Source organism: Homo sapiens, chromosome 2 (assembly GCF_000001405.40).
Source record: "Homo sapiens chromosome 2, GRCh38.p14 Primary Assembly".
NCBI classification, from domain to species: Eukaryota; Metazoa; Chordata; class Mammalia; order Primates; family Hominidae; genus Homo; species Homo sapiens.
The window spans coordinates 120440384-120467431 of NC_000002.12; the positions used below are offsets into that span (position 1 = coordinate 120440384).

General features: G+C 50.4%; 1 long non-coding RNA gene across 1 annotated transcript, besides 5 other annotated features; it reads right to left on the minus strand.

Moving 5' to 3' along the window:
• Positions 1732-2357: an enhancer, noted in NCBI's record as "H3K4me1 hESC enhancer chr2:121199691-121200316 (GRCh37/hg19 assembly coordinates)". NCBI's record gives its function as "activates a minimal SCP1, AML or CMV promoter by ChIP-STARR-seq in primed H9 embryonic stem cells {active_cell/tissue: H9 hESC(primed)}" and the evidence as "EXISTENCE:reporter gene assay evidence [ECO:0000049][PMID:30033119]".
• Positions 11052-11208: a silencer, noted in NCBI's record as "fragment chr2:121209011-121209167 (GRCh37/hg19 assembly coordinates)". NCBI's record gives its function as "represses an EF-1alpha promoter that drives an FKBP-Casp9 reporter gene in an ReSE screen in K562 erythroleukemia cells {active_cell/tissue: K562}" and the evidence as "EXISTENCE:reporter gene assay evidence [ECO:0000049][PMID:32094911]".
• Positions 12844-14043: an enhancer, noted in NCBI's record as "MED14-independent group 3 enhancer chr2:121210803-121212002 (GRCh37/hg19 assembly coordinates)". NCBI's record gives its function as "activates an origin of replication core promoter dependent on BRD2, BRD4, P300/CBP and CDK7 cofactors, and independent of MED14, by STARR-seq in HCT116 cells {active_cell/tissue: HCT116}" and the evidence as "EXISTENCE:reporter gene assay evidence [ECO:0000049][PMID:35650434]".
• Positions 16374-16935: an enhancer, noted in NCBI's record as "NANOG hESC enhancer chr2:121214333-121214894 (GRCh37/hg19 assembly coordinates)". NCBI's record gives its function as "activates a minimal SCP1, AML or CMV promoter by ChIP-STARR-seq in primed H9 embryonic stem cells {active_cell/tissue: H9 hESC(primed)}" and the evidence as "EXISTENCE:reporter gene assay evidence [ECO:0000049][PMID:30033119]".
• LINC01101 (long intergenic non-protein coding RNA 1101) lies at positions 23952-25966 on the minus strand. Its single transcript, NR_027181.1, has one exon. It is a non-coding gene; the product is annotated as a long intergenic non-protein coding RNA 1101 (long non-coding RNA).
• Positions 25720-26262: an enhancer, noted in NCBI's record as "OCT4-NANOG-H3K4me1 hESC enhancer chr2:121223679-121224221 (GRCh37/hg19 assembly coordinates)". NCBI's record gives its function as "activates a minimal SCP1, AML or CMV promoter by ChIP-STARR-seq in naive and primed H9 embryonic stem cells {active_cell/tissue: H9 hESC(naive and primed)}" and the evidence as "EXISTENCE:reporter gene assay evidence [ECO:0000049][PMID:30033119]".

Here is a 27048-nt window from a genome sequence, read left to right on the forward strand (position 1 = left end):
GTTGGAGTAGTGGAGCAGTGCGTCAATCAGACAATCAAAGAGGGAAGGCAAGGAGGAAGGGGAGAGAAGAAGAGTTATTGCGGCCCCACTTATATTTGGGGTAGCCATATAATTTGTAATCCAAAGCGGGACATGTTTGAGAGTGTGGGGCACTATGAATAATAATGCAGGACCCCAGGCGTAACCTGGGCGGTCCCAGGCAAGCTGGGCTGTAGTATGGACTCCCTCCCACTTCAGTACAAGATCTCACTGAAGCCCTAAAACAGTCCTATAATTGGATGGCATTGTCTCCTCATGAGGGGACAGTCTCTCCGAGAGCACAGGCTCCCTGGTTCTGGGCTGTGTGTGAGTGAGGTTATGTGTGTGAGGTCATGAAGCCGGAGCTGGCACTGGATCTCAGGTTGGTATGATTCTGTCTTTTCAGCCTAAAACCTGCCTGTTCAGAGACGAGGTTGTTTGACGGGCTAGGTTAGGGGGTCAGGGCCTAATGGAAATAGGGGACTGGAAAGATTGGGAAGATTTTCCAGGCAGCTCAGGTACCCAGCGAGCCTGGGGGTTAGTTCCAGGTCCAGGCTCCTTAGGGCCACAGGAAACCTCGAGGCCATGGCCTGCCTGTGCTGGTGGGATCGAGTCAGCAAATCCACATCCCCCTGACCCAGCCATGCTCTTGGGCCCCATCAGAGAGGCCCCACGGGATTTTCCCCACTGTCTTTTCACACCTACATAAATCTGTGCACATGGTCACAACACAGAGAGTTAGGCCAACACAAGCTATACAGGTGCAATCCACTTGAAATGTGGATGTCTGCAACTTCACAGATATGACAAGAATACGCACGCGCAGACGTCAACATGCTCCATACACACACCCAGTAACCCTTACTTCGGCTTCATGTGCAATGTGTGCATAGGGGCCTCGGGCGGAGACTTTCAACAGTTACCATGTGCCTCACCCCCATGACACTCCCAACCTCTCTCCTGGGAACCCCTGCCCCCCTCTCGAAGGGTGGCAGCTTTGGGGCCCAGCCTTTATGCAAATGCCAAGCCACAGCTCACTCCATCTTTTCTCTCCTCTCTAATTGACTGTTTTCCCTCCTTGCTGGGACTGCGGGAGCCCCGGGTCGGCATTCAGAAGGGCTCTCCCCCCACTGCCCGGCCCCTCCAACCCGAGCTCCCGGCCCTTTTAATCTAGTTACTTTTCCATCAACACACTGGGAGAAAGACACAAAGGGGCATAATCGTATCTGTGGCTGTTGATGTTCAATTAACCACATAACCTTTAGGCGCTCTCTCTCTCTCTCTCTCTCTCTCTCTCTCCCCCCCCTCCCTCTCTCTCTCTCTCTTTCTTCCCCCCTCTCACCTCACCCCGCTTCTTCAACCCAGCTGCCCCTCTGGTCCTGACACTGGCTCAGAAGCCCTCCAACACCCCATACCAAAGACCTGGCCTCCTGGCCCCTGGGAGATGCCCCACCTTTTAGGGAAGGTAAGCCATCAACCCCAATTCCAGCTGCACTCCCCATCTGACCCCTGCCTGCCCTTGCCCTGCCGGCCCCTTCTGCCACCCCTCCGTCCCTCTCCAGGCCTGGAGGGAGGGGTGCCTCTGGGAGCGGGCACCCCGCAAAACTCCGCTTTCTGGACCTTGTCTGGGGCCAGCAGCTGTCATTTGCCGGGCGTTCCGCTTTCTCCACTGTACCATGCTAATTTTTCGAGGGACAATTTTTTGACAATGAGTCCTCCAGCCCGAACAGAAACCCTTTATGGGGCCGGCCCCAGGGAGGCCGCGGCGCTGCCAAGGCAAACAAAGGCTCATTGCTGCCGCGGAACATGCCTGCGCCTTTCAGGGCCGGGTTCGCAGAGCGCGCCGCCTCCAGCCCGCGCCGAGGTAACACCTGGTCCGCCAACTCCTGGCGCCTAATCAAGATATCAATCACGGCGCGGGGGCAGGGGGGCGCACGGGCCCCGAAGGCTCCAGAACCCGGCAAGTGCAGGTAGCCGGCCGCCTGGCCGGCCAGGGCTGCTTGGCAGGGAGCGCCGGGATCTGGGGGGAAAGAAATCAAGCCCCGAAGCTGAAGGCTTAATTAGGCTGATATCATCCCGCACAAATGTTCCTCCGAGAGGAAGGCTTCTGGGCACCAAAATTATTTTGTGATTAAAAGCGAAAAGGAAGGAGAAATGATTCGGCCTTTGGAGGAGTTCGGAGGGCTGGGGGTGGCAGCAGGAGGCTGGGGCGCAGCGCAGCGCCAGGGGCGCGGGACCCAGCCAAGCTCCCCACTCTGCCCCCACTGGGACAGAGAGGCGCAAGAGTCCACCAACCCCTGCCACTTGTGGCCTTTCCTGACTGCCCAGGGCTTCCAACAATGTAGAAGAGTGACAGTAAATGTCCAGGTCCCTGCATATAGGTGTTTCTTTAATCTGCACACCAGGCCGGAAAGGCCATGCACGTCGTCGTCATCCCATTTCGTAGATGGGGAAAATTAGCTCGGAGAGGTGACATCTTGCCCGAAGTCCCACGGCTGGTCAGTGGCAAGTGGACAGTGGCAACTGCGCCTGGAAAACGCCGTCCGTGGCGCGGTCGCGGCGCCAGGGGCATGCCTGACAGCCACCTTCTCTCCCGTGACCGCCGGGCTCCGCATCAGGGCGAGCCACTCGGCTCGGGAGAGCAGGAAACTGGGGAGGGCCGAGCCTCCGGCCACGCCTTGTCAGCCCCGGAGCCTCCACCAATCCCGGGCCCGGAAAGACCAGGCCCACTGCCGGCCCCGCCCAGCACCTGCGCAGGTAGCGCGCGCAGGCGAACCGCAGGCCCGGGCTTCTGGGGCCTCACGCTGCGCGGAGAGGCTGCCCAGCAGTTGCTAGGCAGTCCTGGGCCAGGTCGTGGTTCCGCCACTTACTCGCTGTGCGACCTCTTGTGCCTCACTGTAACATGGGACAACGGTAGTCCCAACCTCATGGTGCTCTTTGAGGATGGAATGAGCTCCTGCAAGTCAAGCTCAGCCCAGGGCTGGCCGTGGATATGCTCAGAAAACTCCACATGCGGGCCTGCATCCGCCAGCAGGCCCCGGTGCGCCACACTGACATGCTCCCGCAAGGTTGATAAGGGGCTGTGCGCGAGCTTCTCCAGTGCCGCCTGTGCCCTCCGCCATGTTAGTTTTCTCCTGGGACACGCCCCCAGCCTCCCAGGATCTGGCACTGAAGGGGCCCAACGGGAGACCCTCTGCCTGACCCAGCCTATGGAGGCATCCATCCTGAGCGGTTGGTGCCCATGGTGTACTGTTTGTTAAATATTTTGAATACTATTCTCGATCATCTATGTAATAAAATATTTTGCTGTTGGCAAAGACACATATACAGTCTCAGGACCCTAAATCTAGGCAGTGTCCTATTCAATCAACCCATCATTCATTCATGACGTAAGCCACACATTTAGAAAGCTTTTCATTATTGATTCATTGAATCACTGATTTCTGAGCATATTCACTCATAGACTCAGTTATTAATTATGTGACAGTCACTCCACCCACATACGTAAATCCTTTCCCATGGGTCTGTGTGCACCAAGTGGGCCTTGGGCGGTCTCTCCTTTGAGAACCCCACTGTCTCCTGTGGGAGATGGAATGTGTGCCCATCTCTAAACCAAGAGCAAATGGGTAATTACCAGGAGAGAAGATGGTGTTCAATGAGAGGTGTCAGGCACAAGGAGCAGCAACTGACCTGAGCTTGAAGGATGGACAGGACAGGGGCACTGGGGTGGGGGACTTTTGTCGGCTTTTAAGCAGGGCAGGACAGATGGTCGGATCTGCATTTTAGCCAGAGCTGAGCTGCCTTGCCTCGGTGCCCACTGGTGAAAGCACATGGGCTTTGGGGCAAAATGGTATTCTAGTTTGATTCTCTAATTAACCTGCTGGGGAGGGGTTGGGCACTCAGGCAAGTTACTGAGCATCTCAGAGTCTCAGGTGTCTCCACTCTAAAAACAGGGACAACAAACTTATTTCTTCCAGTTGTTGTGACTTTCTGTGAGCAAACTCAGCACCAAAAACAGGGCATGAAGTAGGTACTTTGTCACATGATGAGTGTCCAGTAAAAGGCTGTTATTGCTCCAAGAGTAATGGGACAAGAGAACAGAGGCTGGCATCAAGAGATGTCCAATCAGCAGATTGGATGCAGCAAAGAAATGAGACTGCAGTGAGTGAGCTTTTGGGATGAGGAGGAAGGGAATGGCATTCCCTGGAACAAGGACGTGTTAGGACAGACAGGTTTATATAGTGTGTTAATTTGCTGTGGCAAATTACTTCAACATGTAGTGGCTGAAAGCAACAATCAACATTTTATATGACTCCCAGTTTCTGTGGGTTAGAAATTTCGAAGCAGCTTAGCTGTGTAGTCCTGGCTCGGGGTCTCTCATGGGGTTAAATCAGGATGTTGGCCAGGGCTGTGGTCACCTGAAAGCTTGACCGAGGCTGGAAGGTCCGCTTCTGAGATGGTGCACTCACATGGCTCCCAAGGCAGTGCTAGGTGTTGGCAGGAGGCCTCAAGTTCTCCCCACTTGGCCTCTCCACAGGGCTGCTTGAGTGTCCTCATGAGATGGTGTCTGGTTCCCCTCATGAGATCCAGGAGACTCCCTCATACTTACTTGGTCCTGCAGACCAGCTCTGATTCACTGTGAGAGGAGGGCACTCAGCGCTGGAGTACAGAAGGCTGGGGGCTTGGGGCCACCTTGGAGGCTGGCTACCAGAGATGGCGATGTAATGGGGTCACTTTCTGCCATACAGACTTGGAAGTGTTGCTCGGGGATCCAGACAGGGAAGATCAGCAGGCCGTTGGCGATGCCAAAAAGTAATAATATTATTATGATGATTGCAACTACTATCATCGCTGCTGCTGCTACATCAAATGCTACTCCCATTTTTAGCATCTAACAGGTGCCAGTGGCTATGCTGGGCACTTTGTGTGCATCCTTCCATTTCATCCTCACAGTGACCCTTTCTGCTCAGTCTAGTCTCCTGCTGTGCTAGATAAGAAAACTGAGGCTCACTCTGGCCTCTGGCTCAAGTTCATATAATAAGGAGGGTGGAGCTGAGGTTAGAACATCAGGAAGGTTGGAATCAGGGCAGCTCTGGAGACCTGGGCAAGAGCAGTTGTGATCTTTCCCATCAAGCAAGGCCATCCAGTACCTGATGCTTGGTTTCACATTTCTGTGACAAAGAATCTGATTGGTTCAGCCTGAGTCAAGTGCATTCTCCAAGACCAATGAATCATGGCCAGAACACTAAATACAGCACGGGAATGACACTGTGTGCTGTCCCTGTGCGTGCCTCTGTGTGTGTGTGTGTGTGTGTGTGTGTGTGTGGTGTGAACTCCTAAAGGAATCATCATGAGCTAGGCTTCCATCCCCAAAGGAGTCAACTAGAGCAGGGGTCAGCACACTTTATAAAAGGCCAGTTTGTGGTTATTTTTGTCCTTGTGGGCCATATGGTCTCTCTCGAAACGACTCACCTCTACCTTTGTAACACCAGAGCAGCCAAAGACCATAGACATCCACCAGAGAAAAAGAGCGCGACTGTGTCCCAATAAAACTTTATTTTTAAAAACAGGCAGGGGGCTGGATTTGGCTTGGGAGCCATAGTTTGGCAATCCCTGAACTGAGTGCTAAAATTGTTCCCTGGTTGTTTTAATTTTAATTTTTATTTTTGAGATGGAGTCTTGCTCTCTTTCCTAGGCCAGAGTGCAGTGGTGCGATCTCAGCTCACTGCAACCTCCTCCTCCCAGGTTCCACCTCAGCCTCCAGAGAAGCTGGGATTGCAGGTGTGCTCCACGACACTCGGCTAATTTTGTAGTTTTAGTAGAGATGGGGTTTCACCATATTGGCCAGGCTGGTCTTGAACTCCTGATCTTAAGTGATCTGCCCTCCTCGGTCTCCCAAAATGCTGGGATTACAGGCGTGAGCCACTGCACCTGGCCCTTGGTTGTTTTAAAATCTTCCTTTCCTGTCTGTGGTGGACATGACATGCATCACCAAGAGCCCCGCCTCTGCCACGGAAGTCCTTGCTGCCCAGCTGCAGCGAGTAAGGCCAGGACACAGCTCCAGCTGTCAATTTCCTGGGAGGCCTCTGCTGTGGAGGGCCACCTCATCCAAGGCCACAGCCTTGCTGGGCCCGCCAGCAACAGGTTACAGTGCTGTGTCTGGAGGCTCAGCTATTTTGGTCCGCAGCTCCCCGCTAGTCCTCCTAGTACATCATCCACCTCTGTCCAACCCTGTTTTTACTATCAAACATGCATTTCTTGGGCCAAATGGGGAAAAAAACCCCAATCTTGTAATATGGTACATTAATTGATAAATATCACACAAGCGTGGTACAAAGACTAGTTTCTGTCAGGGGCTGGGGGAGGAAGAGATCTCTAAGGGCCAAAGCAGTCCGGGATGGCTTCCTAGAAGAAGGTCATGGGAGCTGCCTGTCAAGGATTCCTTCCCGAGTTAATTTGCTGTGCCAGGTGCTGGGTGGGCTGGCACTGGGTGGGCAGGGTGGCTGGGGCAGTCAGTCTTAATCGGGGGGTGGCCATGTGGGCAGATACTGCTGCAGAGATGAGAAGGCCAAGCTGGCCTGAAAGAAGGGCCTGTTTCAAGAGGGAAACAGGTAGAGTGCGCAGAGGGAAAGTGAGGGGCTTGTCCCAGCTCAGGGCATAGTTCTGGAAGGGGCCTGGCAATGGCTTTGCCCACATCTCAGAATTCTGCACGTTTCCACCATGAGTGAGGTCTTGGTGGCTAAGAATCTTCTACCCTTGAGTCTTCAGTTCTGTGTGCATTTCTGTGCTTCTGGCTTTGTAGTGTCACTGGGACCGGTTTGGGAAAACAACAGACAAAACAAACCCCAGCACACTGCCCTCCCCCATCATTCTTGGTCATTCAGTCCCTGCCAGGGAACCCAGCCATGGCCACTGCTTTCAAAGAGAGGTGACACATCTGTACACTCACCAGGGATGCTGTCATAGGGGCCATGGCTTAAAACGCAAACCAGGTTCCCTGAAAGTGGTGCCTTCAGAAAGGCTTTGCGGAGCAAGGGGTGATGTGGAAGGATGGGTGGGATTTCTACAGGCAGGCAGATGGGGGCACCTTGGAGAGAAAAGTGGCCAGCCTTGGACCCGCCAGGCGATGGGGGCAGCTGTGTGGCCAGCCTGCTTTTGACCTTCAGGAAGGGTGCTGCAGAAGATGAGGCTGGAAGAGCAGGTTAGCACCAGGTCACACCGGCCTGGCCACCATGCGGAGGGCCCCAGTTGTGTTTCCTGCTAGAGCCTGAGCCCCTGAGCTGTCAAAGAGGCAGCTGGGGTCACACTCAGGGGCAGTGGCAGCCACAGAAAGAGGAGCTGCATGTTTCATCGTGCACATTTTATGAATGTGGAAAATGAGTCCAGAGGGGAGAGGAAGCTGCTTCAGGCCATGCAGCCAGGCGGTGGCCAGGCCAGTTCTGCCTCAGGTAGTGTGGGCCCCACTTCTTTGGCTCTGTAGGGTTGGGACTCCGAGCTCTGCAGCTTGGGACTTTCTGAGCAGCACCCTCCAATCACACAGGAACAGGGACAGTCTGCCCTTGCCCCAAATCCTCTGGGTTCAGGCACACCTGAGGGCCCAAGACATCTGTCCCCAAGATCATCATACCCCTGATTCATCTATTGTCCAGTTGCATACCATTTCAATTGTACAGCCAAGTGGGGGCCGGGGGGAGGCACGTTTGGCAATAATCCATTATTCAGCAGAGGGTTACTAAGTGCAGGTGTGTGACAGGTGATGGATTCTGTGGTGAGCGGGCAGATGCAATGGACCACAAAGCCCTACACTTGGAGAACCCTTGATCCTGATATTCCTTCTCCTGAAAATTACCCAGAGGTAATAGTCATAGCTATGCAGAGACATCAGAAAGAACTAGCCTATGCGGGAGGTGCCAGCAGAGCAGGGCTATCCCCCAAAAGCAAGAAATACATTTGAAAATTAATGTAATACCTCAAGCAAAGCAGAATAGCCCTTGTATTTAATGGTGCACCTTGTTGCGGGACTGCACCAAATAATTCCAGTGCTTGGAGGCCTCTCGGTTCTTAATCTGGCTCTGAGGAGGACCTCAAGGATGCAGCTACAACCGTGGCTGGGGAGTATTGTGTAAAATAATGAAAATTAGAAACGACTCCAATGCCCAGCAAGGGGGGATTGATTAGCTACCTCAGGGGATGTTGTATGATTTCACTCTGGGTAATTGCTAGAAAACATGAGGAATACTTAAAGGCTTAGGGGAATAGTATCACACAGAGCTGCCTCGGCTTAGCAGGTATCAAAACAGTGCTTAATATAATCCGCTTTGGTGTTCGTTTATTTGTTTGTTTTTAAAGTATAGAGGCATAGAAACACCTGAAAGAAAAGATCCCAGAATGTAAGAAGCAGACATCTATAGCTGGTGGAATTATAGGTGATGCTTCTTATGTGATATTACATTTTTGCTTTTATGCATTTTCCAAATTTTCTTTAATGAGTATATGTTACTTTGGAAATGAATTACAAACTTCAAGTGTGTCATGTAGAGCACCAGCCCAGCATTTGCTGAGTTCTCTGGAGCGGATCAGATGGAGTCCCAACCTGCAGTAACTCCCAGCCTGGTGCTGTGGGCCGGGCAGGGCCCAGCTCTAAGAGCAGAACTGCCCAGAGCCCTTCCTTGCGTGAGAGCTCCTGGCAAAGGGGTTGGGATTCCCAGTATGAGGTGCCCCTCAAGGGAAAATGAAGGAAAACGTGAAACCAAAAACTGCCTGAGTTGGTTGTGATCACAAACGCATGAGGCTGCAGCCCCCGCCGGCAGGTTTTCACTCACCTGCCCAGGGGAGCTCAGGGCACCTTGCCAGGCCCCCTGCAGCCAGACTGCAGCCATGATTGGTAGTTCCGCCCACTGCATCCCTGATGGAGCAGGCCCGAGGGAGGTTCCTAGGAAAGCCATGGCACACCCAGACTGGGATCTGGAGGATGCGGAATCCAGTGGGAGGAAGTGAAGGCAGGGAGGTGAGGGGCCAGTCCAAGGCCTCAGCGCTGGGCAAGCACAGCTCAGAGCACCAGCCACCCATTCCCCACTGCTCACCAACCTTCATTTATCCTTGGAGTCTCAGCTAGTGCCTTTGAGACATGATGTTTACGTCGTCATCATAGTTAATGTTCACTGAGGGCCTCCCTGACTTGTGATCCCTGGGATGCAGGGAATCCTTCCCTCCTGGGGCCTCCTGGCCAGGAGCAAAGAGCCCTGGCCGGTCTCTTCATGTGGAGCTGTCAGGTAAAGGCACTTAGACTGCAGCCCCAAATCGGCTTCTCTTCATGCCTGCCTTGGTTTCAGGCTGAAGTCCTTGATGCAAGAAGGTGGCAGAAGAAAGGGGATGAATTTTAGTTCAAGTCCAAAGAATAGTTATGGACTACTTGCTGTATGCCCACTGTTATTACAGATACCTGGTAGAGTTCAGGGGAGTGATTTAATAGGAGAAACTTTTGGAAAATAATGTAGGATTGTGTATACTCTGGGGGTGGGTGGTGTGTGTGTGTGTGTGTGTGTATGTAGGAGTATCAATATCTAATACCTGTTATGATGAGCAGGGAGGGCTTCCTGAAGGAGGTGGGCTTAAAGTGTGAGATGAGTGGAAAAGGCAGGGGAGACCTGGCCAAGCAGGCAGATTGGTGAATGCCATGTGGGAGGCCAAGGAGGTTGAAGCAGGCCGGGAAAGGCGGGCCTGTGTAAGGCCATGGATGCTCTGGGAAGGGCATGGGTTTCTGGGGTCAGGCAGATCCTGTTCCCATCCCTCCTCTGCCCATTGTCAGCTCTGTGATCATGGCCAAGTTTCCGGGCATGTCTGAGCCACATTTCACTCATCTGCCAAATGAGGCTGGTGATCTGGAGAAAGCCCCTGGCTTGGTGTGGTTCAGAGCAGGACCCTTCTCCCAGAGAATGACAGGTCCAGGAATCTGGAATTGGTGCCCAAGACCTGCAAGGAAGTAGCAAGTGGAGCCGGGAAACGAGTGCTTGGAGTGAGACAAATGAGTCAGTGGGAGTGAGTCTGCATGACCTGGATCACTTTCCAGCTGTGAATTCAGGGAGGCAGAAGGCAGGATGCCCCCTGCCCCGCTGATGCTGTCATTTAGGTGAGTGCTCAGCACTCCAAGTTCATGCTCACGGGCCCCCAGGCCTCTCTCACCTTCGTTCCCATCTTCCCTCCCTCCCACCTGGTTCACAGCAAACCTGTGCAGGGGTGGGTTTGGATCCCCCCAGACCCTCTGGGGCTTGCTGTCTGGTCAGGATGCTGCTCTCAGCCAGTAGAGGCCTCCGAGGTGCCTCGTTCCTGCGGAAGTTGCTCCATCCAGCCCACCAACGGGGTCGGGATGATCTCTTCTCTTGCCATTCCTCTTGCGTAGGTGTATATTCCACAGCTGGTGCCCTGTTATTTGAATTCCAGGTTTTAAAATATTGCTTCCAGCCGGTCACAGTGGTTCACACCTGTGATCTCAGCACTTTGGGAAGCTGAGGTGGGAGGATTACTTGAGCCCAGGAGTTTGGGACCAGCAAGGTGAGACCCCATCTCTACAAAAAATAAAAACAATTAGCTGGGCATGGTGGTGCACGCCTGTGGTCTTAACTACTTGGGAGGCTGAGGCAGGAGGAGTGCTTGAGCCCAGGAGTTTGAGGCTGAGCGAGACCCTGTCTCAAAAGAAAAAAAAATTGTTTCAGTTTCATTATCTGTAAAATAATATTCAACTCAGTTATCCGGGGGTCCCAATGGGGATTTGTAGAAGTTCACCACCTGGTGAGTCCCCTGGGACACCTGGGGCCTGAATGGATGTGGGGAGGACTCCGGTTTAGAAGCCAGGTGGATACAGAGGTAGAGCCAGAGTGTGGGGGTGGGGCTCTTGGAGGGACCTAGGGTACTGCGGGAGCATGTGGGGACAGCACTGTGGTGTGGACGTTGCAACACTCATGGCAAGGGGGTCAGCATGAGGGGTGGACAAGGACCCTTGATGAGGAGTCCAAGTGGAGGAACAGGGCAGGTGTGCTGCTGAGGGCTGGGGACCCCCTGAGTTACTGGGGCAGCGGGCGGCAGGCTGAGGTCTTCAGGCATGCAGAGGCAGCTCAGAACCATTCTGTCTTGGCCCTCAATGCCAGCAGGGTGTCACCAATGAGGCTGGAGGCTGTTCAGCTTGCGTGGGTCGGAGAGACATGAGATGATGCACCAGCCAATAGCAGCTCCCATTTCTGAAAATCTGCCTGGTTCTGGAATGTGTGAAGTCTCTGTGGCCTGTGTGGAAATTACTCCAGGCTACAAGAGAGGGTCTTTCGGCTGTGCTGGGCCCAAACCTGGGATCCTCAGGGGAGCGGCCTATCTGACTCTTGGCAGCAGGGACCTGAACAGTATGAGGCTCCCGGCCTCCAGAAGGAGGGACCTGGAAGAAAATAGGGAGAAAGAGGCAGAGAATAGAATGTGGGGAGACTTAGAGTTTCTGGGAAAGCCGGCTTGCTCAGCAGGGCTAGCGTGGGCCTGGAAGATGGGGAAGAAGGGAAGGTTCTATTGTATTGTTACTGTTTGGAACTAATTTGAACTTTCGTATCGTTAGTTCAATCCTGCAAAAATACATTGCCCAGGGCCATAGAAGGGGATTTGGGCAATGGGGTTCAGGGCACCTTGGCTGGAATCCCAGGAGAGAATTGTCCTCTGTCCCCCAGTGGCCTCCTGGCAAGGCAGCACAGAAGGGCTGTGAACCTCAGTGTTGGTCAGAAATGAGACTCTGGGTAGAAAGGGGCCTGGGAGCCCCGCACCAGGGACAAGAAGAGCTTCTCCCCACTTTCACTCCATCCCCACTGCCCAAGCAGATGCAAGGGCCCTCTCTGAAGCAGGGAGTGCTCTTCAGGACACGGAGCCAAGCCCAGCTCCACAGGTGCCAGGTCAGGGCGGGTTCTCCACCAGCAGCTGAGCTGCAGCACGCAGGGGTGCCCACCAGGGCTGGGGGTCGGCTGGCAGTGCCACAAAGCTGAGTCCCCCCACCACCCCTGCCACATGGGAAGGAGCCAGTACCTCCCAGACGCTGCAGGCACAGATGTCAGGGCCACAGCCAGCATGAGAGGGACAGCGCTGCAATCATATCCTGCCTCAAAGAGTGAGGGTAGCACTTTACTTGGATGAGATCTGCTTTTGACCGCAGATGTGTGTAGCTGGTCTCTTGCCCCTCTATGTAAATTTTGTAATTTTCTCATTAACTTCTTGTCCCTTCCGACGTGGGGCTGCCTCTTCAGGCCCTGCAGGTCTAAAGAAAAGAGGAGGAGAGGATATGTTCACTGCTGTATTTCTAACACAAAATAATGCTTGGTGGATGATTTGAATGAATGAAGTCACAGCCCAAGCTGGCCTTGGAGGATTCGGTTTACAGGTTGGCTCCCAGCTCCCCTGGGTTAAGCACAGTTCTTGCATTCATTAGAGGGAGGGAAAAGGAGTCTCTGAAAAGACAGCCTCTCTTCCCCCTTACCAGATCATCACACTTTACTGTGACTTTGTTTTGCACGGAGCTCTAAACTCAGGAGTATCCAATCCCACCCTCCTTTTTCTAGAAGGTCCAGAGACAAAGGTGACACAATCCCAATTGTGCAGCAAGAGAGTGAAGCCCTGGGATTCCTTGTGGGCATTTGGAGGGTCCGAGGGCAGCATGGGCCACAGCTGCCTGCTGGGATAGGGGCTGGGTAGCTGTGAGCTGGGCGGCCCTGGCCTCACTTTACTGTAAGGATTGAGAGAGGGACGCAGCAAGTTGTCGTGAGGAAGGTGAAGGTGGGGCCTGCCTGTGGAGACCCCTTCGCCCTCCACTCCCACCCCCACCCTAGCCAATGCCTCCTTCTCTACATGAGCGTTTGGGCCAGTCACAGTGATCTTTGAGTGGGGCCTGCTGGGTGGACAGGGTCTGCACTGGACGTTGAACTTCCTGTGAGCGATTCTGGATCTTACCTCCTCTGAGTCCCCAACCCTCACCCCACATGCCTGGCCCCAGGCGGGGGCTGTGGAATCAATGAATCAATGAATGAATGCATGCATGGATTGTTGTAGGTGGAGAATGGGGACAATTCACAGACCGGCATTTACAGATGACTGAGCAGGTGGTCACCGTGTCCCCAGGCACATAACCATGTCTCGTTAATGACAAAGCTTCCACCTCACATCACAACATGGGCGGCAGTTCAGAAGATCATGTGGCAGCCCATGTTCTTTCAACACAAGGATCCGTCCCACTGCTTACTGGAAAGATTTCAGACGTGGCTTGTCCATAACTATATGAACTAGGCCGTGAGGCCACAGCAACTGTACCAGGGTATCAGTCAGGCTTAGAGTCTGTCTGGGCCCACAGTACAGAGGGTGGCCTGAATGTGGCTCTGATAAGGCATGACATCTTCACTGCAGGTGATGAGTCACCCTGGGGTGCTGGTCAAGAGGAAATTCCTCAACCCCACCAAGTCATAGTAGGAGACCTGAAAATAGCCAACATGATCTGCTGTAAGGAATTCCACTTGACCAGGGTGGAGAAGACAGCCAGAAGATAGTGGGAAAAGCAGGGTTTCTGCAGAGAAGCTTCTACCCTCCCTGTACCCCATCCCTCCAGGTCAGCTCCACTGCTGCACTTTGGCCACAAGGATGGTTGTCAGAGGAGACACAGCCAGGGTCAAATCTAGTCTCTCTGGTTTGAGACCAGCCTGGGCAACATGGCGAAACCACGTCTCCACAAAAATGAGCCAGGTATGGTGGTGCACCTGTAGTCCTGGTTACTCAGGAGGCTGAGATGAGAGGATTGCTTGAGCCCAGGAGTTGGAGATCATGCCACTGCACTCCAGCCTGGGTGATGGACAGAGGCCCTGTCTCAAAAACAAACAAAAAACAACAGACACATGGGCAAAGAAGATAAGCAGTTGGCAAATCAGCACATAAAAAGATGATCAACACAATTAGTTGTCAGAGACGTGCAAATTATAACCACAGTGAGATACCACTACACCCATATGAGGACACCTGAAATACACAAGCAAACCTGACCATACTGAGGGCTGACAAGAATGTGAAACAACTGGCTCTCTCATACATTACCAGGAGGACCACAGAAAGGTACAACCACTTTGGAAGATAGCTTGAAAGCTTCTTAAAAAGCTAAACAAAACACACCATATGATCCAGCCATTTCACTTCTAGATATTTGCCCAAGTAAAATGACTTACGTCCACACAAAAACCTGCATGTGAGTATTTACCGCAGCTGTATTCATGATCAACAAAAACTGGAAACAACCCAGAGGCCCTTCAAAAGGAGACAGAGAAACAAACCCTGGCACATCCATAGGATGGCATGCTACTCAGCAACCGGAAGGAAGAAACTGCTGATTCACAAAACAACAAGGATGAATCTTAAATGCATTTTGCTAAGTGAATGAAGCCAGAAAGAAAAGACAACATATTGTGTGACTCCATTTATATGACATCCTGTAAAAGATAAAACCAGTGGAATAAAAAGAAAATCAGTGGTTGCCAGAGTCGGGAGAAGGCGCTGACTACAAAGGAGCCTGGCGAGGGAAGTTTGAGGGTGATGGAGCTGTTCTGTTTGATGCGGTGGGGGTTGGATGCATGACTGTAAGTACGTGCTAAAACCTATAGAACTATTTGCCACTAAGAGTGAATTTTGCACTATGCAAATTTAAAAAAATCAACTACAGTGTGGGGGTGGGGGAGCCAAAATGGAATGCAGACGTGACCAGTGAATCACGCTTATCACAAGTGAGTAACACTGAAGGAGGTGAGGAACGAGGAGGCAACCTCAGTAACGTTGGAAAATAGTGTTTTGTTTGACAACAGTAAGGCTAAGTAAAAAAGGACTGTTCACAAACACTGCCTTCTAGTTGGTAAATTTGTTTCTCACGGGGGTACAAATTAGCATTCTGAAACTACTGTACATGTATGCTAGGGTTGAACAAATAAGTAAATCTATTGTAGATATTGAAAGCCAGGTGTCTCATTTCAGAGAAATAACCTACAAATAATCAAAAGGAGAATGCTATAATGAATCCCGTGATGTTGGATTGGATAATGAATTCTGTACATACACAGATGCACAGAGAGAGAGAGAGACAGAAATAAATGTAAACACATGTGTGTATGTGGGTTAGTGTATAAACATGTGTTTCCTAACTCTGTCCACTATGAGGGCCTAGAAGCCATTGCAATGAGCACATGTAGCCCACAGTCCTTGGTTTCTAAATACAATTCTCCAGTAAAAGCTACCAGGGCTCCTTGAAGAAGTGGTTGACTTCAGGGTTGAGGCAGAAAAAATATAGTACTGAAAAAAAAAAGAGTGCATATAAAAAGAACACAGGAGACAGGAGGGGCTTCAGATCCTCCTGTAGAGGAAAATGGGGTAGAGGTACTTGCCCAATTCCTCCTGCTAAGTATAACAAAAAACCCTGGACATGATATGTAAAACAAACATAAAAGGATTCTGAAATGTGGAGAGGTGGCAGACTGTCCAGGGACCTCTGGATGACATGGTGGTAAGTCCCATGGATTTTTTATTTTTTTCCTCATATATCTCAGACTTGGAGATAAAGAGCCTTCCAGCCCAGAAACCCTAACTGGCACAGTAAAAAAAAAAAAAAAAAAAAGCCCCTCTAGCCAAAGGATCAGAAAAGGGGCCAACTAACAAGACAAACTTGTTTTCTATTTTTCTTTTCTGGTTTTTTTTTTTTTTTGAGATGGAGTCTTGCTCTGTCACCCAGGCTGGAGTGCAATGGCGCAGTCTCGGCTCACTCAACCTCTGCCTCCCGGGTTCAAGCAATTCTCCCGCCTCAGCCTCCTGAGTAGCTGGGATTACAGGTGCCCACCACCATACCTGGCTAACTTTTGTATTTTTAGTAGAGATGGGGTTTCACTATGTTAGCCAGGCTGGTCTTGAACTCCTGACCACATGATCCACCCGCCTTGGCCTCCCAAAGTCCTGGGATTACAGCTGTGAGCCACTATGCCTGGCCTGTTTTTTATTTTTCTTATTTATTTATCTTACTTGTATTTTAAGTTCAGGGGTACATGCGCAGAATGTGCAGGTTTATTACATAGGTAAATGTGTGTCATGGGTGTTTGTTGTACATATTATTTCATCACCCAGGTATTAAGTCTAGTGTCCATTAGTTATTTTTCCTGATCTTCTCCCTCCTCCCACCCTCCACCCTCCAAACACTCACACCCAGTGTGTGTCATTCCCCTCTGTGTATCCACGTGTTCTCATCATTTAACTCTCATGTATAAGTGAGAACATGCAATATCTGGTTTAAGATGAAAAAATTTTCAACGGTAACCCCCTACTCCAGCCAAACATCACAGAAGGAAAATGTGGTTCCGTCTCCAGCCCTCTAGCAAAGGCCAAGGGGCCTTCAGACTAGCAGTCTTGCAAGGCTGTAATAAGGCACCCCAACATTCTCTCTGAGTGGTGTTAGAGAAGGTCTAGTGAGGGTGGGGACTTTCGTCCCCACTCATCCATAAAGAGATGCCTCACTTTCTTCCCCTTCCCCACACTGGGGTGATGCAAGAGGATGCCTACTGGAAATTCATGGCTTTCACATTCTCCATGACAATGATGCCACCATCACCTCAGTAGCAGTGGAGACCTCATGGGACACAGAACTCCCACTCCACCACTGGAGGCCAAGGGAGGAACCTGGACTTCTATCTCCACCTGGTGGTAACAAGGTATTGCCCCCTACTGTTGCTGATAGAGTGGTGTCAGAGAAAGCCAACTAAAACAAATGGTTTAAAAACCAGGAAGATCTCAGATGAGTGACAAAAGACATTCAATAGATACCAACACCAAGATGACAGAGACGTTAGAATAATCTGACAAAGATTTTAAAGCAGCCATGGTAAAAATGCTTCAATAAGCAATTACAAACACAGTTGAAACAAATTTAAAGATGGCAAGCCTCAGCAAAGAAATAAAGGTATAAAAAAGAGCCAAATGGAAAATTTTCAAACTCAAAAAGTGAATAACTGAAATTTAAAAACTCAGTGGATGAGCTCAACAGTAGAATGGAAGTGGCAGAGGAAAGAATCAGTGAACTTAATGGTAGAACCTATCTGCATAATGGAGACAAAATAGACTAAAGAAACAAAAAATACAGAGCCTCGAGAACCTGTGGGACTATATGGAAGTTCTAACATTTTTGTCATTGGAATTCCAGAAAAAAAAGAGCAAGAGGATGGGGCTGAAAAAATTACTCAAAGAAATAATGGCTAAAAACTGCTCAGGTTTATCAAAAGACAAGTCTGCAGAATCAAGAAGATGACAAAATCCTTGTCATAGACAGAATGTGTGTTTCCCAAACTTCGTGTGTTGAAACCCTGCCTCCTAACATGATGGTATTAGGTGGTAGGGCTTTGGGGAGCTAATTAAGATTAGATGAGGTCATGAGGGCAGCACCACTATGAATGGGATTAGTGTCCTTACAAGTGTTCTGCAAGAGCTTGCTTTCTCTCTCTGAGTAACATGTGAAGACATAGTGAGAAGACTGCTGTCTATGAGCCAGGAAGCAGGCCCTCAGTAGACACTGAATCTGCTGGTGCCCTGGTCTTGGACTTCTCAGCTTCTGTAACGGTGAGAAACAAATTGTTGTTTAAGCCACCCAGTATGTAGTATTTTGTTATAACATCCTGAGCTACTAAGACAACCTCAAATTGAAAAAAAAAAATCAATGCCAGTTGTAATTAAATTTCTGAAAACTAAAGACAAAAAAAAGTTGAAAGCAGTCAGGGGAAAAATGACACCTTAACTATAGAGGAAAAACAATTTGAATGACAGTAGAATTACCATCAGAAACTATAGAAGCCAGAAGTGGCATAATATATTTTAAGTGCTACAAGAAAAGAACTGTCAACCCATAATTCTATACCCAGTGAAAATATCCTTCAGGAATAAAGGGGAAATCAAGACATTTCTGGATGAAGAAAAACTAAAAGAATTTGTCATCAGCACATCTACCCTAAAAGAATGGCTAAAGGAATTTCTCTAAACAGAAAGAAAATGATAAAGTAAAGAATCTTGAAACATCAGGAAGGAAGAACATAGTAAACAAAAACATGAATAAATATAATGAACTTTCTTTCTCCTCTTGTGTTTTCTAAATTATGCTTGATGATGGAAGCAAAACTATAACATTGTCCGGTATTGTTCTAAATGTATTTAGAGGAAAAATTTAAGACATTTACAAACAGGATGTAAAGAAAAGTAAGGTCTCTATACTTCACTCAAACTGATAAAACGATGATACAAATAGATGGTGATGAGTTATGTATATAAAATGTAATACCTACAGGAACTATTAACGTTGCTATACAAAAAGATACATACTCAAAAACACTATATGTAAATCAAAATGGAATTGTAAAAAATGTTCCAGTGACCCAGGAACTTTTTTTTCATTCCAGGAATGATGGTAATAGAAAACACACATCTGAGAAACAGAGTATTAACAGAGAACAGAAATAAAATGATGGAATGAAGTCCAAAATATTAATAATTACATTAAATATAAAAGATCTAAATACAGCCATTAAAAAAACAGAGATTGGTAGAGTGGATTATAAAGCACAACTCAGCTATGTGTTATAGGCAAGAAACTCCCTAATAATAATGATACAGGTAAGTTAAAAGTAAAAGAATGCAAAAGCATAAATCATGAAAGCATTTATCATGGGAAAGTAGGAGTGGCTATATTAGTATCAGATAAAGTATTTCAGAGCAAAGAATATTTCCAGACACAGAGAGGGATATTACATAGTGATAAAAAGTTCAATACACCAAAAACGCATCGCAATCTTAAACATGCATAGCAATGGAGCTGCAAAATAAGTGAAACAAAAACAACTGAAAGAAGAAAAAGACAAATCTACAATTATAGTTGGAGATTTCAACACTCCCTCACTAAACAATGGATAGAACAACTAAACAGAAAATCAGCAAGAATAACTCAATGACACTATCAACCAATAGGATTCAACTGACGTTTATAAAACACACCACCTAAAGGCAGCAGAATACATATTATTTTTTAATGCTCAAGGAATATATGTCAAGATAGATTACACCCTGGACCATAAAACAAACCTCAACAAATTTAAAATAATTCAAATCCTACAGAATGTCTCCTCCAATGGCAATGGAATCAAATTAGAAAGCAATAAATAATTCATGAGAACATCTCAATGGGGAGTAAAAGTGCTGGCTCCCCACTGGGCCTTCTCTGATACCACCCAGTGGGGTATTGAGGCTCCTCCGTATAGCTTGGGTGGAAATCTAGGCTCCCACTCAGCTATTGATGATGGGTTTGGGGTGGGGCCACACTTTTTCTTTGTTGTTTGACTAGAATGGAGTGGTTATTGACTAAAAGTTTTCTGTCTTGCTAGGCTTCTCCCTTGTATTTCCTTTGGGGCATGTGTTAGGCCGTTCTTGCATTGCTCTAAAGGAATACCTGCAGCTGGATAATTTATAAAGAAAAGAGGTTTAATCAGCTCACAGTTCCGAAGGCTGTGTAGAAAGCATGGCACCGATACCTGCTCACTCCTGAGGAGGCCTCAGGAAGCTTCCAATGATGGCAGCAGGCGAACAGGGAGCCATGGTGGCATCTCACATGGTGGGAGTGGGAGCAAGAGAGAGTGAGTGAGGGGGAGGTGACACACACCTTTAAACAACCAGATCTCGTGAGAATTCACTCGCTATCATGAAGACAACACCAAGGGGATGGTGTTACAGCATTCATGAGATAGATTCTGCCTCCATGACCCAGTCACCTGTTTCCATCAGGCCTTACCTCCAGCATTGGGGATTGCAATTCCACCTGAGATTTGGCAAGGACACAGATCCAAACTGTATCAGGGCTTTTTTCTTTTTTCCATCTGTGTTCATTGGTGTTTCTGGGTTGCTGGCTTGTTTAGCTCCAAGTCTGGAATTTATAAGGCAAAAGAAAACCCAGGCAATTCACCACCATCTTGTTTCTTGGGTTCCGAGGTCCCAAGCCAGTGCACCTACTTCTTTTCACCTTTCAGAAGTGAAATTCTTGGTCTGCTGTATTTTGAGCAGTTCTCTAAGTAACGCCGATTTCACTGAAATTCGAGGACTACTGAATTTGCATCTGAGTCCCATGTTCCCTGGGTCAAGGCCTGAGTCTCCCGTGTTTACAACACATGCCCTGAGCAGAGCACAGGCGGTCCTGGTCAGTCCTCACAAGGGTCCCCCAAACCCTTGCAGGGTCTCCCAAGCAGCCTCGCCCATGCTCAGTGCTGCACACATTCAGCGGCTGACTCGCCCACTCCTCAGTCCCCTCCTGCTGAGCTTCTTCTTGTTTCCTCAAGCAAGAGCTCAGACTCTCCCCTGAGGCCTTCAGAAGGTGCTTGAAAGCTCTGCATCAAATGCACTGTGGAGAAACCCCTTTCTACTTCTCCCCAAAAAGCCAGCCCTCATCCCTCAGCCAGGGCCACTCCCTAGGCCCCAGCCTTCAGCCCAGCACCCCTCCTGTCTTCTGCGTCCTTTTGGTGCCTGTCTACCACCCACCTTTCCTGATAGAGGGAGGATGGGCCAGTCCGGGGAAAGCACAGCACTGCCCAGGCTCAGCCATTCAGCAAGCTCTGTGGAGGGAAGTGACTACTCCATGGGTCTTCTCTGTCCCAGGCTTTTAGTGAGTACAGCCTCACTGAATCCTCCCAATTCTTCAAAGATAGGACTCAATAGTGCCGATTAACAGAGGAGGAAATGGGGACTCAGGGAGGTTCAGTCACCTGCAAAGTTCACACAGCTGATGAGTGGCAGGTCTGAGACCAGGAGCCAGGTGGCCTGACTCAAGCCCAGGCTCTTCCACATATGAAACGTCCCAGATGTACTCTTCCCTTAGACACCCCAAGCCTCACCGAGGCTCTGAGTGTCAGTCTAGAGACCATGATCAGACCCCAAGGGACAGCAGGCACAGGCCCTGATCTGACCTAAGCCCTCTTGGTGGTAACCCTCGTTCTGGCCCATTTGGGCAGCAGAGGAGTACCCAGTAACTTGAAACGGAGAAGCAAGAAGCTGGCTGACATCAGATTTTCTGAGGGGCTTATGGGTTTCTATTTTCCCCTCATTTGAAAAGCCAAGTTGGGTTTATAGTTAGAACCACCCTTTCCTCTACAACACGATTAAGCTGCTTCAGAGAAAAATTGCTTTGTTTGGCCCTTGGATACCATTTCTTAGAAATGATGGTAGCAGATAATGTAGGTTCAGCAGACGTCCTGTCTCTGGTGCCTGGCTGGGTTTGGATGTGGGCCGAGAACTGGTGTGTCGTTGGTTTCCAGACCAAGCTGGTCCCGGCTGCTGTGGGTGAAGGCTTTAGCTAGGTGGGATTCTTAGGACTTGATTTAGTACATACCGAGTTGTTTGGGTCTTCAGAAAAAGAAATAAAAATAAAAAAGAGAGAGAGAAAGAGAAACATTTCCAGGATTTCAGTTATAGTCCTCATGTTAATGATACTAACGATAATGACAAACCAATTTTCACTGAGGTCCACAGTGTGCCAGGTCGCTCTAGCGTCTGTCTGCTGGTCGTGTGAAGTAGGCACTGTTATTGTCCCACCCATTTTACAGATGTAAAAGTGAAGGTCAAGAGCAACTTCAAAGTAGCCCTGTTTTCATTAAATGCTTCCGAAAATCAGATTCTTTTCTTAGTGTGAACTGCATACCCAGGAGAATAAATGGCACAGAGGTCGGTGTGGCTAGGAATGCAACAATGAATATGTGTTGAATGAGGGAAGGAATGAACTTGTTTCTTCTTTGTGATGAGCTTACATCTTTGACGTCATTTAGTTCAACTTTCCACTCAGTGTGAAAATCCTTTCTATAACACCCCTGGTGGGTGATCATCCACCTTGAATGCCTCCAGAGATGGGGAGCTCATTACCTCCCAAGGCAGCCCTTTCTACCCTTGGACAGCTTTAAGCCTCAGGAAGGACAAAGGTTTATTATTCTGAGCAGAACTCCGCCTCTCCATGCTGGGTAATGATTGGTTCCCATTCTACTCTTTGCTGTGGTCAAGCTTCTCTCAGTTCTGTAGATTTGTCCTAAAAATCAAAAGAGGCCTCCTCCTTCTCCTCCAGATTTTCCCTTTGGGGGACTTGAGTAAAGTCTGGCCAGAGAGGTGAGAGTCTGAGACCTGGACACAGAGTGGGTATTTGAAGGAAGGGGCTGTATGTTCAGCCTAAAGAAGCTAAATTGTCACAGAGGTGAGGGCGCATGAGTGGAGCCCTCAGCTATTTTTAAGGCATTGCAGATGCTTAATGAACAAATAGCAACAGCAATAATAACAAAAAGTAATTTACTGTGGTTCTGGGTGCCGGGCTGAAAGCTTTCCTCGTATCATCTCATTTGAACCCCTCAACAACCCTCTGGGGTGACTGTCAAACTCCCCACCTTACAGAGACAGGAACTGAACCCCCAGAAGCTCAATGCCCCCAGCTGGGATGCAGACCCCAGGGGATCTGGCTGGAGTCGCCCTTGTGCCCCCCACACCCCTGCTCTGTGGCTGACAGGTAGAAGCTGCAGGAAGACAGGCAAGTGTCTGCTTAACTGAAGCTCTTTCTAGAATGATAAATGGTGGGCAGGGAGAACCAGCTGCCTGGCAAGGAAGCGAGTGCCCAGGTGGCATCGCAGTTGGGAAGGACCTGTGGTGTGGACGGCCTTTGGGCCACATGAATCCAGTTGAATCTGATGGAAATTGAATTGCTGAGGCAGCCTTCGTGAGAAAAAAAGGAGGCTGAGGAGTGGTGTGTGTGGCTGTGGGGTGGGGTGGGGTGGGAGTGGTGCTTGCTATGAGTCTCCCGACCAGGTGTGCTTCAGCTGCAGCTGGAAACTCCTTCTCCTTTGGTGCCTACATCTTTAGGTCTCCCCGAGATGCCGGGATTCCCCAAAATGGTAGTCCTCAGGGGGCAGTCTTGACCTTGTTTCCAGGAGCCAGTTGTCAGAAGCCAGGAAGGGTAGAAGGGTCGATGGGCATTTGGGGTAACGGGTCATTTCCTTGGGGACGTCCAGGCCTCCCATCTATGTCTGTTCATACCCCAATCCCCTACCTGGAAGGAATCCTCACCCCTCTTTCCAACCAGGGTGCCCCTTGGAGCCCCCTGTTCATCCTCACGACAGGCAACTCCAGGGAGGCAGGTTGTGTGGGCGCCTGGAGACGGAAAGGAAGTGCCAGGGTGCATCGTTGGTGAGGGCTTCCCGGCTCACAGGGAGCCTGGTCCTGCCATTGGCAGGGCACTGACAGCTCCCTGGGAACGATGCGTCTATGGTGGCAGCAGCGAGCAGGAAGGGAATCCCAGAGCATGCAGGACTGAGTCCCTTCCCTGCCGGCTTCCCGGGTCAGTCACCACCCAGACCTCCCATGCATCCACGCACACTCAGTGGGGGACACTGAGTCTTTCTGGGCTGAAGTTTTGTCCTCTCTGTGGCAGGGACCGCAGTGCCCAGCATGTGGAATTCAGGAGGTGATGAACCTGGCACACAGTTTTGCTCTGTAAGTCAGAGTTGTTTATCACCCTAGAGAGCACAGCTAAGGGCATCTAAACTGGGTTCATTCAAATCCTGACTCTATCCCTTCCTAGCTGGGGGCATCTAAGTGCTCTGTGCCTCAGTTGCCTTCTCTATATAATGGAGATAAAACACTTATTAGCACATGGCCTGGCTCATAGTATGTTTGTAATAAATGGTTACTATGGTCATTGTGATTCCCATGATGTTTGCCCCCAAAAACACTGCAGCTTCAGTTGGAGGCTTGGGAAGCTTAACGGGAAAAGGGAAAGAGCAGGAAAAGGGGACATGAAAGCAGTGTGGGGGACTCAGACACCACAAATATTCATGGAGCCACTGATGTTTGCCAGGCACTTTTATAAACATGTGACTTAATCTTTCCCAAAACCCATGCAAAGGGCATCCTTTTGTCTCCATTTTCTATTATATGTGCTGAGATGAGCCTCAGGGAAGGCAAGTAACTCACCCAGGGCCACACAGCCCGTCACAGCTCAGTCAGGGCCCCAGGAAGGACAATCCCATGGCTTGGGGTGTTGGGAAGTTTGCCTTCATTCAGTCCTGCGAAGCCTCGGAGGAAAGGCTGAGCTTGGTGCTGTCACCCTGTCTCCCTCCAGGTCACCTCCAGGTCACAGTGTGGCTGGGGCTCTTGGGCCTTCAGTTTTCTTCCTGCCGAGTGGGTTCAGGAAGAGCAGGCTCTGAGTCACTGGGGCCCCGGCTGGTGATGGGGGCTTAGACACGTGTATGGTCCATTGCTGCCCTCCAGGGATGAGGCTCATCTCAGGACCGTGCCCTGGCTTCTGTCAAGGCGGCTCTGTGGTTGTTCGGGGCCTACTCTGTCCGGCCACAGCTCTGGGCCTTTTTCCACCAGCCTTCTTTGAGCTCTCCCTTGGCTTTGGGAGCAGCATGAGATTTTTCCATGCTTCCGGCTCCGTTGCCCACAAGCTGAACAGTGACTTGGTGTCAGGGTGGCAAAGAGAATAGGTGCCTTACTGGGAATGGGCAGTGGTGGGGGATCAGGGAGAGGGAGGCTAGAGGGTGGACAGGACCTCCCAGCAGCGGCAAGAACAGCTCCAGCTCCTGCCTTCTTGGAACCCTTCTGCCATGGAGCCCCCCAGGCTGAGGAGGCCTCATGGGGGCCATTTCGCACACCAAGAGGCTGAGTCACTTGCCCAAGATTGGGCCTCTGGTGAGTGACAGGCAATTGGACCGGTCAGGGTGACCCGGGGCATGCGGTCTCACCACCTCACCACAGTGCTCTCTTCCCACGGCAGCACCCTGCCTAGAGGATGGTGGCTGGGCCAGGCGCTGCCCCCACTGCCTCACAGGCCTCTTGGGGGTCAGAGATGGACAGGGGTTTAGGTAGTCCCTCCTCCATCCTGTCCTCATGGATGGATGCCTGTGCCCTCCCTAGATTTTTCTCACGGTCCGAAGGAAGGGCTAGCCCCTGGAGAGCATCTTATCTCTTGTTTGATGGATGGCCCAGAGAGGGTGAGTGGCTTGCCTGGGGCCACAGAGCAAACTGGAGTCAGGGCCACCCAAACACAGGAGTCCTGACTCCCAGACACTCATGCACTGGCGGGGCAGGGCCTACACTGTCTTCCCTGCTTCCCAGGAAGATACCTTGTGGGTAGATGTGGGAGGGAACAGGCCGGCCTTGACCAGTGCCATCCACTCAGCTGTTAAATATTCTGGGAATCCATAAAACTGACAGCCAACTCGTGGGGATGGTCGTGGCTCCTGTGTTCCCCACCAACCAGCAGGGGCACCTGGGGAAACCTCCAGTGCAGAAATCGTACTCTGCCATTTCCTGTATCTCCAGCTATTCCCCATCTGAAGAGTGAGGTGGTTAGACCAGGTCCCTGGTTTTCTTCCAGTCACCCCCTGCTGGAATGCCAGGAGCTCTCTTCTGTGCTGGGGGAAGCTGCCGCTGGCCTCAGCTTCCCCATCTGTGAGATCGGGCTCCATGCCCGTCTTGTTGGACTCATCAAGAGACCCATGGGGAGGAAAGAGCTTGCAAGGAGAGCAGCTAAGGAAAGACCGGAATCGTCCGAGCCCTTTGTCCCTTCCTGTATCAGCAGCAGGCGACCTGCCCACCAGCCGGGGCCTCCCGTTCCGTTCCATTCCGTTTAAGTAAGCTCTTTCCCTGTGCAAGGGAGCAACCGACCTCAAAGGCCCGGCCCACAAAGGGGCCCCCGACATGGCTGGGAACAATGCGGCCTGTTTACCTGACAGATTGTCCGCTTTCTTTTCATCTCGTAGGAAAAGAACTCCCACGGGGAGCCGCTAATCCCAGAGTAAACAGATGACCTCGTGGTGCCTTTCTCCCGGAGGTGGGGTTCCTAGCGCAGCACCCCAACTGTGCAAACAGACCCTGGAGGGCTCGATGCGCCTGCGGGGGCGTGGCTGGGGACCTGGGCCTGGGCCAGGAGGGGCCTTTCCCTCTCGCCAGCCCTCTTTTCTTCCTTTGTGATTTCAATTGAATGGGGAGAAGCTCAAAGGCAGGGGCATGAAAGGTCAAAGCCAATTTGCAGGGCCAAGTGTGGGGGAGGAGAGAAGGGCCCAGACCAAGCATTCTTTTTGGAGGCCTGACCTTGACCTGGAAGCAACTCCTCCCTCTCTCGGCTCTTCTGAGGACACTGCCCTGGCAGAGCTGGCTTTGCCTTCTGGCCACCCCCCTTACTAGCTGTGTGACAGAGGCCAGAAAATGCTCCTTTCTGAGCCTCAGTTTCCTCATCTGGAAAGCAGAGATACAGGGACCTGTCGGGTAGGACTGCTGTAAAATATTGTGGTGTGCTTTCCATAAGTGATGGCTGTTTATGATTAGGGAGGGAGTGAGGCTGAGTCTTGAAGCTGGAATGCCAGTGGAGGCCAGAGGGTATTCCAGGCTGGAGGGACAGGCAGAGCTGGGACAAAGGCACTCAGATGGCAATGAATAGTGTTTGTCTGGGAGACTGAATAAAATAGGCTCTGAAGCAACATATTATTGTAGGGTGGTTATTTCTGGGAAGGAAACAGAATTCCCCCTCTTCCCAGCAGTGTGACCTTGGGCGAACCATTTGACCTCTTGATCCTTCAGTTTCCTCGTTTATAAATGGGGATGCAAAGTCTTGTATCGAAGGACTTTCATGAAGATGAAAAGAACCTGATGTACAGCAGACACTCAAACATTAGCTTTTAGGGCTTTAGAAAGGTCAAGTTCTCCCAGTACTTTGGGAGGCTGAGGCAGGTAGATCGCCTGAGGTCAGGAGTTTGAGACCAGGCTAGCCAACACGGTGAAACCCCCTCTCTACTAAAAATACAAAAAATTAGCTGGGTATGGTGGCACATGCCTGTAATACCAGCTACTTGGGAGGCTGAGGCAGGAGAATTGCTTAAACCCGGGAGGCGGAGGTTGCAGTGAGCCGAGATTGTGCCATTGCACTCCCGCCTGGGCAACAGAGTG